Genomic DNA, 14,933 nt, shown 5'->3' on the forward strand with positions numbered 1-14,933 from the left:
CTGGGTCCCATTAAAATCCCATGTCGAATTGTCATCCCCAGCGTTGGAGGAGGGACCTGGTGGGAGGTGATTGGATCGTGGAGGCAGATCTCCCCCTTGCTGTTCTTGTGAAAGTGAGTGAGTTCTCACGAGATCTGGTTGTTTAAAAGTGTGTGGCACCTTCCCTATCTCTCCCTTCCTCCGGGTCCTGCCATGTGAGACGTGCCTCCTTCCTCTTCACCTTCCACCATGATCGTAAGATTCCTGAGGCCTCCCCAGCCATGCTTCCTGTACAGCCTATGGAACTGTGAGCCAACTAAACCTCTTTCCTTTATAAATTACCCAGTCTCAGGTAGTTCTTTATAGCAATGCAAGAACGTGCTAGATGTGCACCAATTCTGTCTCTTCTGCCTGAGCACACGGGAGACCACTTCTAACCACTCAGTGCTCGGCTCATAGGAGGTCTTCAGGTAATCCTCATTGACTGGAGGAAACAGGGTTGCTCTATGTTGAGTGCGGGGGACACAGTTGCTGTATGTTGACTGGAGGGAACAGGGTTGCTGTATGTTGAGTGGAGGGGCAGGGTTGCTGTATGTTAAGTGGAGGAGACAGAGTTGCTCTGTGTTCAGTGGAGGGGACAGGGTTATTCTGTGTTGAGTGGCGGTGACCAGGTTATTCTAAGCTGTCTGGTTTCTAAGCTGAAGGCTGATACGATGTCTGTGAGCCATGTCTCTTCCCATCAACAACCACAACTGCAGGATTTGTGCTGGGTTTTCCTGGTTTGGCTGTTATGTGACCACCCAGCACACAGGTATCTCTGGGAATATGTTAGATTTTTTTAGGTAGAAACATTTTATTTACTATGGAGATAACATTTTATAAGGGCCGACACTGGGCCAAGTCTATCATGTCCATGACTCTATGTGTTTCCATAACAGCTCTTATAAGATGAGTATCACTACCCTCATCCAACAGACAAAGAAACCAGAAACCAGACAGGTGAAAACCTTGCCTGGATCACCCAGCCAGGAGGTGAGGAATCTGGAATTAAACTCCCAGTGAGAACATCCCACCTTCCCCGCTCCAGCTCTCCCCACAACCCACACTTCAGGCTGAACTCTCCAAGTCGCATTCCAAGGCTGTGGGACACACCTCTGTTTTATAGTCAGAGAAGCCTCCTCAGGCCCCCTAGACAGAGGGGGCAGTCTTCTCTAAGGACTGCAGAGTCTCGGGGGGTGTCAGAAAGAGAAGACCCCTCAGATGCTGCCTATTCCAAACCAGCAAACCCAGGCCTAGACAGGTTCAGAGGGTTGTTCTGAGCCCTTATTTTGTTCCCAAAATAAGGGCTCCTTTTCTAAAGGCTGTGACCATACAGGCTCTTGTAACCTCTCAGTGCCGGGCTCATAGGAGGTCTTCAGGTAATCCTTGTTGAGTGGAGGGGATAGGGCTTCACCAGACGTGGGACCCCCATGTGGGTTTTTCTTTCATTGCTTTCTTTTGGCTCGAGTTTCCCCACTCTGGGAGGGAAGTGGAGGACAGAGCTCTCCAAGTGTCATAGAAGGAGAAGTTGGATATTGCAGAAATCTTGGAATCACTCTGTCCTGCTCGTGCTCACACACGCAAGACATCAGACATCACGTGGGCCAGCGTCACATGGGCCAGCATCACGTGGTGCTCGGTGTCCCACCAGCGTGAGCACCAGCAGAGTAAAGTGTGCCAGGTCCTCCCAAGGGAACACAGTGTCAGCAGCAGAGCCCAGATGCAAATCCAGAACATTGGACTTCTTCAGTATTCCACTTCTTCCACGTTTCCAAGTTTCTAGCAGCTTCTCACCTCATGATCTTTCCTTTGTGAGTCCATTTGGAGGCCTTGAGGATAAATTTAGAAATTTATTATAAGACTAAAAATTAGAACTCACTTCAGTCTCTTTTCTCCCCTTGAGGATATGTGAAGAGTAAAATGAGAGACTGCCACACAGACTCCCAGATTCAAACATCTACAGAAGCCAGGCCTGTGGTTTAAATAAATGAAGTGCACCAGATGTGAGGTAACTGGGTGTGGTGGGGACTGTGGCACACTGGAAAGCACAGCTTTGTCCAAAGGGGATGCCCACTGCCCACCTCCAGCCAGTGTCTGCTAGGCAGAAGGCCCAGCTTCAGCCAGATCTTCTGATTTATCAAGAAAAGCTGGAGATCTAGGGTTTATTATTTTTTAAGAGCAAAAATATACTTTATTGTAAGCAATACCATGTATCTGCTCAGGTGGGGTCTCCTTACTTCGCTCCCATCCACTCTCTGAAGGTTTGGGAGACTTTTCCAAAGTATTTCAGAAACTCTATTAGGATCTTTTCTCAATTGGTCTCCCACTTTGGGCAGAGATCTGTGGATATCCTTGGATTGTATCATTTGTCCTTTGTCCACCTGAATCTGAAACCAGTGATTTTCTTGTTCCTTTCTCCAATGGTATATTTGTTGAATCGTGACCTTTCACTTTTGTTTGACTATTAACCACTTCCATTGCTGTCTCGGTCTTCCCCTCACTTTTAACTAACTTCTCTTGATGTAGGAAATAGTTAAGTTGATGCTGAGCCTTTTCAGCTTGCTGTAAAGCCTGTTTCAATTGCTCCTGAAGGACTTTTTAAGTGCTGTGAGATGAGTTTTTAAAATTTAAACACATCTATGGACTGATTCGGTTCCCAACCCACCAGGCACACCCTCTGCTGTACAGTATTAGAATATCTGAGGTAGGGACGTCACTGAGCCTCTAAACTGTAAGCCATCCCCACACGGCCCGCTCTGCCATGACCAGGAAAAGGAGAAGTCTCCTGGCAGAAATGACAGCTGACATCGATTGTTTGAAATCGGACATGTCTGTATAACCTGCCACCCGACTTTACGTAAGTAGTCGACACTGCTATTAGCAGCTGGACTTCAAAGCGTGATGCGGACAGCAGGCGGGAGGCCTGCGCAGTGTCTCTGTTTTCATCCTGTTATTAATGAGAGTTGGTTTACACGAGCCTCAAGTGCTGATAAGGGCGTCTGAGGATCGTCACTGTAAATGCTCCGTAGACAATTTATTAGACAGCCAAGCCCAGCCCATTAGTCATGGACTATTAGAAGACTTTTTAGATGTTGTTTTTAAATCATCTTTTGAACTCCATTAGCCTTGAACTTCATGCAGGTAATATCAGGGAGGATGGCAGCTGAGGGTCGTCTGGTAGCCGTTGCAGCAATTTCCATCCGGACGTTTGCACGGGATTGTCAAGGCTTGATGCTGTGGCGGGTGGGAGAGCCGGGGGACACTTTAATTTACCCTCTAACCAGCTGCAGAGCTCTGGAGAAGTCACCGGGCATGTCCAGGCCTCAGCACCTTCAGCTGTAAGACTGGAGCATTAAACCTGGGGCTCCACAGACGTCTTCTGTCTAGGGTGGTCAACATCCCTGTTTGCCTTGAACTTCCCTAGTTTTCTCACTGGAAGTTCCATGTCCCAGGAAAACCCGAGTAGCCACCCTCCCTCCAGCCCTAAATTTTATAAAGCCCATCAAACCAGGAGCCACGAAGGCAATCTCTCACTGTCAAAGGTTGGCAGTGAATGCAGAGGTGGTGTGGACGTGTCAGGTCAGCCCCATCATCTGAGAGCCTCACAAGAAACTGTCCTCTGCATCACAAACCTCTGCCTGAGGATCTAGAGTTCTCACAAAGGATCTAGAGTTCTCACAACGTCTGAAGAGGGTTGCAAAGAATTGCTTGGGTCTAAGGTCATCGTGGGTTCTTTCATGGAAGAACAATATATGGCTGCTGCACTCTCAGCTGATTTTATTTCAATATACACGTATCAAGGGGCTTTTTGTGAGCCAGAAGTTAGGCTGGATGGGGATAGCCCTGCCCTCAATGCTGATGCAGTCAATGCTGATCCAGTTCACTCAGGGACAGCCATACCGTCATCCTGCCACACTCATTATCACACACTTCCTTGGTGTTGTGTTTTGTAGGAGGCAGAAAAGGGATAGAGAAATCTGACTTGAGGTCTCAGGGTGAAAACTTCCAGCTGGCACTCAGGCTCCACTTGTGCGAGAGAATGCCTGGATTGTGTTAAAGTGCAGGTTCTGATCCCATGGGTCTGGGTGGGTCTGAGATCATGAATCTCCAGATCTTGTTAAAGTGCAGATTCTGATCCCATGGGTCTCGGCGGGCCTGAGATCCTGCATCTCTAACAAGCACTGGGTGATATCACTGCTGCTGGCTCAGTGACCAGCTTTGGGCAGCCAGGAGCTGGGTAACTGGCTCCCTGGGGGCAGTAACTGATTCGATCTCACTCATCTTTTTTCTGTAGGAATGAGCAGACCCTCAGAAGGAGCCAACTGGACACATGAACAGAAGGGATGAATGAATGAACAGAAGGGGTGAATGAATGAACAGAAGGGATGAATGACTGAACAGAAGGGATGAATGAATGAATGGGCCATCACTTAACATGGGCTCGCCCACCACGGCTCCTGGTCTTGCGTTTCTCTTTTCCTCAGCATTTCTGTGCATTTCCAGTCTTTCCCCATTTGGTGCAGTCTACATTTCTGAGAATATTCTTGATTACTTGTTGGATAATCAACCAATGGAAATGCCCAGGGGAGAACCTGATTATGCCCCAATCCTCCTTCTTCCAAGCCCACACGGCCACAGCTGGAAGTCCATTTGCTTCTTAAATGAGCCAAAAGATGGCAATTCTCTTCTTCTCTCATCCTCTCTGCACTTACTGCATCCTCACCAATGATTTGAGAACTTCGTTTATATTTCTTTTATTCCAATATAAAAGTATTAAAATAACCAGAGACATCATCTGAGATATGAACAGGATGTGCAATTCAGTATATTAGAAATAGCCTAAATGTCAAAAGAAGGGATTAACTGAATAATGGAGGGTGTATCCTTAGGCATAGGTATTTGCTGCCATTAAAAAACCATATTTTTGCATGTGAACAACAGGAAGAAATCACCATATAATAATAATTAGAAGTGCAAGTTTGAAAAACTATAGAGAGCATAATATTGATTTTGTAGAAAAGTATTCCACACAGAAAAGCACAAGAGAAACTGAATCAAAATCATAACAGGTTAGTGCTGGGTGGCAGAGTCTCCTTGTCCTTGGGCAAAATAATCCAACACAAGGCCAGTTGGGAGTCAGATTTCTGGGTAAAATCTCAGCTCTACTACCAGCTGGTTCTCTGGCCATGGGCAGGGTTCCTATCTGGTTGGTGCCTTGTTTTCTGTAAAAATGGAGATGATTCTACCCCCGAACTCCTAGGGCTGGAGGGATGAATCTGGTAAAGCACTTAGACAAAATTAAGGGGCTAATGAACAAACACTGTCAGCACCCACCAGGAGGATAAACCTGGGGGAGCTGAGACACCCCTGCCCCACCCCCACCCAGGTACAACACACACACACAAATGCACACACAAACACACACCAATACACATTCACAAACAAAGGCACACACATACAAACACAAACACATACACACACGCACACATATACAAATGCACACATATACAAACACACAGAAACGAATACACAAACACATAAATGCACACACATACAAACACACATAAACAAATACACACACAAACACACATATATACAAATGCACACATACACAAACACAAACACGAATACACACACAAACACATAAAGGCACACACAAACACAAATACACACAAAAACACACACACACAACTGCACACACATACACACAAATACATGCAAACACACACAAACATACACAAACGCACGTACACACAAACATGCACGAACACACCCACACACAAACACACATACAAACACAGACACACAGAAACACAAATGCACACCCGAACACACATATAACCACACAAACACCCATACACACACACACCCCCACACACAGGCACCCTTCCCTCTCTGCTTCAGCCTCCGTTTGGCTCCTTGCCCCGTCCCACGAGCCCTCTGCCATCGAAGGCCCCTTGGCCATTGTCTGCTTCCTGCCTGCCCCTCACCTACTGAGAGGACAGGTGGGTGAGTAGAGCTGCAGGTGGGGAGGCACCTTCTTAGAGAATTGGACGCTCCTGCCTCCAGTGAGGCTACAAGTGCCGCTCGCTTTCTGAGTACCAGGCCCAGAAATCTCTGAGACAGCCTTCTTGGAGGGATAGGAGGCGGCGGCAGAAACACGCAGGCCCAGCTTAGCAACAGTGAGATCCTTGTGCCGGGCAGGCTAACACTTGAAACCGCTCTAGAGTTGTATTCTGTCGAGTCCCCTGTTGGGTCCCACCCCATAATATGCACACACACAGTTTGGGATTTTCTAAATGACAGCACCCGTTAATTGTCTGGTTAGGTATGACCTATTAAACATTTACCGCCCATTTCCTGTACACGTCTGGTGAGGCCGGCAGGAAATTTAGAACAAATTAAACAGCAGCTGCAGTCCCTCATGCTTTAATGGTCCCTCCACGATCCTGTGCGGGATTGTAAAATATGAGGGCAGATCTATTAGGGACAGGCTGGTTTCGTCAAGGAAGCATCCACCTCCCCGTCCTCCTGCCAACCAGACCCCATAAAGTTAAATTGGCCAGTGAGCATCTTCCCCTCCCCGGCTTCCACCCACACTGCCATAGATGAGGTTTTCCATCCCCACACCCCACTCACCTCTTCTCCAGGCCCCCACCCCTCCCAACCGTTCCCACACGATTTCACATGTGGTCCTAGAGGGGCACTTCCTGCCGTTATAAAAAGCAAAACCAAGACCCCAGCAAAAACAGCCTGTGTGCAGAACACCCAAGTCGACAGTGTGAGAGCGAAGGCCTAATCCATTCCATATGACAAACAGCAGTGGCCCGCAGGGGCCGGCCAAACCCTGAGGAGAATTCAGAACAGTCCCTCCACCCCCTCCCCTGCCCTGGGTTCCTCGCTGCACCCCCTTCTCCCCACTCCCTTCTCAAGTGGACCCTTCAAAACAGGAGAAAAATATTCTTAGGAGCATGCCCCTAACTTTAAACTGATTATGTTTGGGTTTAATAGCCTACTATGCATTGTTCTTTCTTCACTTTGAAAATAAACTCTAGGAAGCATTAATGCAAATACAATATAAACACGCTCGTTCCTAAATTTTCAAATGTCCCTGGCGTGTTTGGGCTTGCTCCTTAAGGTTACGGGTTAGGTTGATGTAAGAACCAGATGGATCTTTAAGTTGGAAGCTTTGCAGCCCTCGCCATGTAAACAGACAGCTGTCCAGATGATGGGAGGTATAACAGAGCCCCAGGAACAAGGCCTTGGATAACTGCTTGCATTGTCTTTCCTGAACCAGCAAAATGCACAAGCTCTGTGAGGGCTCCTTCCTCTGCAGCAAAATGACAAACATCACTTTAGTTACAGAAGGAGGTGCAATTATAGAGGTGTTGATTCCAGGAGTGAATGAAAGTAACAGCTTTCTATAGTGACCACACTTTCCTCCACCTCTTTATGTTTCTGTAGCTAGCCTTTTCATGCTAAAGGATCTTGTTCCCATCGACAAATGCCCTTCGTTCATTCAGTCCCCATTGAGAGCCAGCAAATAGAACAATCCCTGTCACTGTTACCCTCCAAGGGTAACTTCATGTGCTTATCAGTGACCACATCCAAAGGAGAACCTTTCTACTTCCTGTTTCCTACTTCCTGCTTCCTGCTCCCAAGTTCCATAAACCATTCTCCTTGAGAGGTGCTAAAAATGGAAAGGACAAGATGAAAGAGTTGGCCAAGAGATTTACACCAGCCCATAAAAGTCTCTGCAGTGCTCTGAAGACTAAATTGTCGCTTCTACTTTAACTTAACCTTTCACTGAGTGGTGATCTGAATGTCGTCTATGATTCCACTAAAACCTACGAGGCTTACCATTTGTGGTTTGGTTGTTCTGGATGACTTGACAAATTAGCCTAGTAAATTTTGGATGTCTTAAGCACTAAATTAGGTCATTTGTTTAATGAGCCAATCCACTGCCCAGAGTTTGACCCCAGCCCACTGGGGTGAGTTCACATGGAGTTCCACTGTGGAGGCCGGTGGCCCCTCATTTGTCTTAGGCTTCTAGAGAAACAGCTCCAGAATTAGGGCTGGAATCTGAATTCCAACCTTAACATTGATTCATTAGTGAACATTAACAAAGTGAATTCTTTGGCCTCAGTTTCTCTCCCTCCCACTCTCTTTCTCCAGTATCATTGTCATCATCATCATCATCACCATCATCATCACCCTGCCCCTCAAACGGTGCACAAGCACAATCTCACCCAGCTCTCACAATAACCCCATGAGGCAATGCCCTCACTATCCTCATTTTCCAAATCTTGAAACTGCTGGCTTTCCCAAGAGCACACTCAGTCACTCACACTCACTCACTTATTAAATTTTTCAATAAATATTTGTTAAGCATCTACCAGGTGCCAGTCACTGGGGATACACAGCTGATTAAGCCATAGTTATTGCTTTCAAGGGCTTTATCATTCCATTGAACAGAGTCATGCATATTAATAAATTTAATTTTATTGTTACCATAATTCAGGCAGAAGTACGCCCGAGGCACAACCAACTTTGTCTAAAACATTCCCTGAATTATGCATATGGATTCCAACCTTTTCAAACAATGTCCATTCACTAACATGATGTCCATCCACAAGCCGACATCTGTGCGTGCCTTCTACAAGCGGTACTGTCTACTCACAGCAGGTTTCACAGGTACTGCTGACACATCTAGTACAAAGGGAACTGATGTTACTTTTGAAATAAATTGACACTTCTTTTGAAAGACAGAGTAAAGGTGATCTTCTCATTATTACTTTATTTGCTTCCCCCACACTTCATAGCTTCCCATTTCTCATCTGACTTGCTCTGAACCATTAAGAAAGATGGATCATTCCAAGTTTGGCCAATAATCAACCCACAACCTGCCCTCCTTCATGGCCATATTTTGTTTTGTTATGTTACAAAGGACGCCTGAGAGAGCTAGCCAGGAAGAGTTACTTCTGAGAAACGACAAGCTCAGGACCTTTCCAAAGGCTCTCACTGCCCCCATATGTGACAAGGGCAGTGTGAATGCCATGGCCGCGCCATCCCGTGGCTGCCTCCACAGACCTGCCCCATGCCAGTAGGAAGTTCCTTTTTTTCCCCTCTGCCTAAATATACACTGACATGGTCAGAGATCTAATGGTAGATTTGAGTATTTAGGAAAAACAAGGACCATGGAACAATTGCTTTGCCTACTTACACCACGGGTGGTAACACTGCCAATGAAATTGGTAGTTCAAACTTTTTGCAATTGGTGCAAGTATATAAAACCTCAAATCCCCGCCCCACAACACACAGAGAGAGGGGATGGAAGGAGAGAAAGAGACACCCACACACACGCACACACATTGACGTGTACCTTGAAAATAGTATATGAGGGTAGAGATGCCCTCGTGAACCAACAGCAGCCTAAAGGTGACTCTGGAGTCTCCCAACTTAGGTTTTGATGGCACCTGCCTGTCCCATCCCAGTTTCTATTGACATATTCCTTATCTGAACTCCCTAGAGTGTGCCAATCACCCCAACTAGGCTGTAACGCAGTTGAGGGCAGTACCTGTGTCATTTCCCTAATTTTAGTTGGAACATTCTAAATATATAGTAAAGTACACAACTATTAAGTGTAAAGCAATAAATAATTTTCACATATGTACAGGCTGGTGTAACTACCACCCACATGAAATAGAGGGTTTTCCAGTACCCTAGAAGGCCCTCTTGCACCTCTTCCCAACAAACATCTCCCAAGGATCACCACTGTCCTGATCTCCATCACCAGAGACGGGTGTTTCCCACCCTCCCTCTTCATATGAAGGGACATACGGTGTGTTCTCTTGTGTTTAGTGTGTGAGATTCCTTCCCTCGTCGTTAGCATGTGAGATTCACCCACATCGTGTGAGGCAGTGCTCCATTCCTTGTAACTGCTGTGAGTGTGGTCCGTTACGTGGAGACGTTTCAATTATTTATGCATTCGACATGGATGGACAAATGGTGTTTTCCGGCTTGGGGTGATGATGAACCAAGCAGTTATGAACATTCTTGTCTTGCATACGTGGTTGGTGCATACGTTGGGTCATACGATAGGAGGACGTGGAGCTGTAGTAGATATTAAGCATCCACTAAGCGCCAGGCACTGGAGATACAGAGCTGATGAAGCCATAGCTCTTATCACATGGTTCTCCAAAGTATGCCAGTTCACACCCCACAGGTCAGTTCACACCCCACAGGCCAGGTGTGAGCTCCAGTAACTCACACCCTCACCAAAATAAGGCATTCCCAGTCTCTTCAATTTCAATCATTATACTGGGCAGGTAGTGGTTACCTCGCTGTGGCTTTAAGGTTGATTTCCCTGGTGAGTAATGATTTGGGTCACCTGTTCATACACACACTGCCCATTTATGACTCTAGTGAAAATTACTTGTTCAAGTCTTCAAGGGTCATGCTGTTAACACTCGGTGACCAACTATTGCTTTTAACCATCAAGCTCCTAGCTCAAAGTGTAGGCCTGGACACGTCATGGTCCTGTGGCTGTGATATTTCCAAGCCCTCCCTCCATAACAGGCAGCAGCCATCCTTTCTTCTACCTCCTAAGATTGTTTTGTGGATTAACTGAGGTGATGCCTGCAGAGTGCTGAACACCATGCCCACTGCACAGCCAATGCTCGACACCGGTTAGCTATGATGAGGTCAACAAGGTGTTGGCCAATTTCATCATTCTTGGGGGCAGGGGTGGCCCTCCATAAATGCTTGCTCCCCTCCAGAACACCTGCAGTGGCTTTTCTGAGCTTGGCTCCCTTGCTGATGATCGGCTTATTCCCATTCAGCCCCATGAGGGTGACGAGGGCTTCTTGAATCAGCTTGCTCATCTGCTGCTGTCTGTCCTGGTAGGAGTATTTTGGGGGAACAGTCACTTCTCTCCAAGAGCTCTGATGGTTCCTCCAAGCTGAGGAGGAGAACAGGGACCCCTCACAAAATGGCCCATCTCTTGGCACTGCCACCCCGGTACTATCTGCCACCTCAGGGGTGGAGTCCAACACTGCATCTAGGGCATTTGCCTCCTGGCCCTTCTCTATGCTTTTAGATGTCAGTGGGGGAAGCCCCCTCTCCGTCACCTCTTCCCACTCCCCTGAACAAAAACACCATTCTCCACGCTGAACTCTGCCCTGATGTGGGGGCGTCTGGCTTCCTCCACACGGCAGCCTGTCAGGTTTCGATTAGGCCAGGGAAACACCACAGGAAATGAGTCCAGGAGAGGAAGCCTGTGATTTTTTTTTTATTTCAAATACCAGATTTATTAATTTTTTTAGGGGACAGTGTCCCGGCTGTGCCAAGTCAAGGAAGAATGTGAAAAATCTGCTGCTCCAAGCACAGCGGCAGCCGCTGGGTCCTCTGTTGTCTCCAATAAAAGCCCCTGGGAAGCTCCCGCTGTCCTAGGGAAGACGAGGTGCACCAGCTGCGAGGACCTGAGCGCCAGGGGTCCTGCCCAGGGCCGAGTGGGTAGCTGACCAGGCACAGCCTGCCATGGCCAGCCACAGTTGGGCTCCTCCAGCTCCATCTCCTGCCTGGCCCTGTGGAGCCCAGTGACCCTGACCTTACTGTCCCAGGGTCCAAAGGGAAGTCCTGACTATTTCATGAGCTGACAACTTTCCCGAGCCTCAGCTTCCTCTGTTGCAGGACATGGACTTTGAACTGAATATGTATGTCATTTGAGACCCTTCTGGCTACAAATGCCATCAGTATTGCCTGCAAGTGGAGGTGGTGTGAGCTGGATTAAGGCCACAGGTGCCACGTCAGATCTCAGCATCCCACGCCGACTCTGCCACTTCTGTGCCAAGATGTGAGTTACACACCTTTCCTTAGCCTCGGTTTCTTCCTTGGTAAAGCAGGAATCCAAACAGTTACACCCACTCTGTGCCAGCCATTCTCACTGCCTGACGTGTGGTAACTCACTTCGTCCCCGATATGCTTTGGCTCTGTGTCCTCAGCCAAATCTCACCTCGAATTGTAATAATCCCCATGTGTCAAGGGAGGGAACTGTTGGGAGGTAATTCAATCATGGGGGCAAGTGTTTCCTGTGCTGTTCTTCTTGTGATAGTGAATAAATAAGTCTCACAAGATCTGATGGTTTTATAAGGGGAGTTGCCCTGCACACACTTTCTTGCCTGCCGCCACGTAAGACATGACTTTGCTCTTCCTTCACCTTCTGCCATCACTGTGAGGCCTCCCCAGCCAAGAGGAACTATGAGTCCATTAAACCTCTTTTCTTTATAAATTATCCCATCTTGGGTATGTCTTTATTAGCAGTGTGAGAATGGACTAATACAGTCCCCATCTAGAGGACTGTATTAAAGTCCTAGAGAGCACAGAGGTGAGCACTATTATTAACCCCATTCTACAGATAAAGAAACTGAGGCAAGGAGGGTAAATCACTTGCCCTAGGTCACACAGCTGTTATGTGGCTGAATCAGTTAAGTTCCTAGCAGAGATGCAGAATCAGTGGAAGACACATATTAAGAGATTCACTGCCAGGGTAGGCTTCACAGTGGTGGGGCCAGCTGGGCAGGTCCAGCATCTGCAGGGTGCTCACTTCGAGGGGCGGGCAGGGGAGCTACTGCCTACAGGTGGGTTTCTCCTTCCTTGGGTAAGCAAAGCCTCAGTCTGGTTCTCAAGGCCCCCCAGCTGACCCACTCAGGCCCACCCAGGTCATCTAGAGCAATCTCCCTTACTGAGGGGCAACTGATCATGGACTTTACTCACATCTGCAAAATCCCCTCCCAGCAGCACCCAGAGGTGTGGGATTGAATCACCAGGGACTGAAGCCTCACCAAGTTGACACACAAAACTGGCCCCCGTGGTGGTGAAGGCAGGGCTTTGCACTGGGGTGTGTGGCTCCAGGGTCCACAGACTGTCTTCTTATTTTCTAAAGTCATGGAATTTTTAGAGCAGTTTTAGGCTTACAGAAATTGAGCAGAAAGTACCGAGAGTCTCCATTCTTTCCCATGTGCACACAGTTTCCACTGCTAGTAACGTCGTGTGGTACATTTGTTACAAGTGATTAACCAATATTAATGGATTATTATTAAGTCCATAGTTTACATTAGGGCTCACTCTTGGCGTTGGACATTCTATGAGTTTGGACAATTGCATAATGACCTGACCCCGCGATTACAGGATCATACCCAGAGCTTCTCTGCCCTAAAAATGCCCCGTGATTGACCTACTTCTCTCTCTCCGATCACCCCTGGCAACCACGAATGCTCTCACTATCTCCGTAGTTTTGCCTTTTCCAGAATGTCATCCAGATGGATCCTACAGAGTGTGGTCTTTTCCGATGGGCTTCTTCCACTGAGCAGTAGGCATTGAAGGCTTCTCCATGTCCTCCCAAGGCCTGGCAGCTCATTTCCTTTTACTGCTGAATAATATTCCACGGCCACGTCCCACCGCGTATTTATCCACTCGGTGCTGAAGGACATCTGGGTTGCTTCCGGGTTTTGAAAATTAGAATGAAACTGCGACACATCTGTGTGCAGGTTTTTGTGTGGACAGAGGTTTACAACTTCTTTGGGTAAATACCAAGGATCGTGACTGCTGGAGCGTGCGGTAAGAGCATGTTCCGTTTTGTAGGAAACTTTCGGACTGTCCTCCAGAGCGGCTGTGCCCCTGTGCATTCCCGTGATTCTATGGCCTTTCAGCAGCACCGCCCGCATCCAGGTGTGGGTGATCGCTGAAGAGCCTAGAGGACGGGCGGGCGCGCGGGTGGCGCTCGGCGCGGGACGGGCGGGTGCGTGGGTGGCGCTCACAGCAGGGGGGCTCCTTGCGTGCTGCCATGGCCTCCATGTGAATCCTTCCACACATCCTTCTCATCTTGGGGGCCTGTGAGGGTGATGTCGGGCCCACCTCGGAGCTCTGCTGTCTCCTCGGGGTTGCAGGGCCTGGAGAAGGGCTTCCCATTTAGATGGACCCAGCACAGCACACCCTCGGAGTCTAAGCTCAGGTCACAGCCAGTTCAGCTGTGTTAACTTCTGTAGACCCTGGCATCCTGACGGTCTCCTGGCGAGGGCTTCAGCGGGCACTGGGGATGAAACCGTGCGGGCTGCCTGGGCCGGTGTTTCTTAGTTCTGATTTCCAAACGAAAGTACGCAGACCATCCAGGCCAGCAAAGGCTGCTGCAGCTCCCGTGGGCCCTTGGGCCACAGACCACAGCCGTGGTGTGATCCGGCCCACGGGAGCATCTGCAGATCCAGGAAAGGAGCAGCCCACGCCCAGGTAAGGCATGGCCTCTGGGCTCTGGCCTCTGGCTTACCGGCCCGGAGGCTCTCAGCAGCTGTTTTCCAGGGATGCAGTTGGAGACCTGGGAAACCGCAGCAGTAACAACCCCCTGGTGGCTCTCCCCATGGGGCAAACATCTAGTGAGCCCTTACTGCACATCTCACCAAGCATGTTACCTGCAGCATCTTGTGAGAGCCCCCGTGACCAGGAGGTGGGTGCTGTGTCTCCCGATTGGACAGATATGAGCCGGAGGCTCAGAAACGTGACTCGAGGCTCAGCGGGTGACGACTTGCCCGAGGTCACTCGGCTGTTAGGGGCCAAACCAGGGCTTCCAGCCCAGTTCCTTTGACTCCAAGGCTCACAACAAGAGTCCGTGAACAACTATTGAGTGCTCACTGCATACTGAATATGTTTATCAATATGTCAACTCTCAGTTGAGACTGAAAACCCTGTGAGGTAGATTTCACGAGCCCAATGTACAGATGTGGCAATTAAATGACACCAGGGCAATCATAGAAGATCTTGTTATCAGCAGGCCCAAACTGCTTCCTCCTGGGAACGAGGGTGGCATCAGTTGGGTTCCCACCCCAGCCCTGCTGCAGACCATCTTTTTTATACTGAGTGAGTCA

At 48.4% G+C, this 14,933-nt stretch overlaps 1 annotated feature.

The window, feature by feature from the left end:
- Positions 5,905-8,713: an enhancer, noted in NCBI's record as "VISTA enhancer hs1613". NCBI's record gives its function as "enhancer in: limb[5/6]" and the evidence as "EXISTENCE:transgenic organism evidence [ECO:0001131][PMID:17130149]".

The sequence above is a fragment of the Homo sapiens genome, chromosome 16 (assembly GCF_000001405.40).
Source record: "Homo sapiens chromosome 16, GRCh38.p14 Primary Assembly".
NCBI classification, from domain to species: Eukaryota; Metazoa; Chordata; class Mammalia; order Primates; family Hominidae; genus Homo; species Homo sapiens.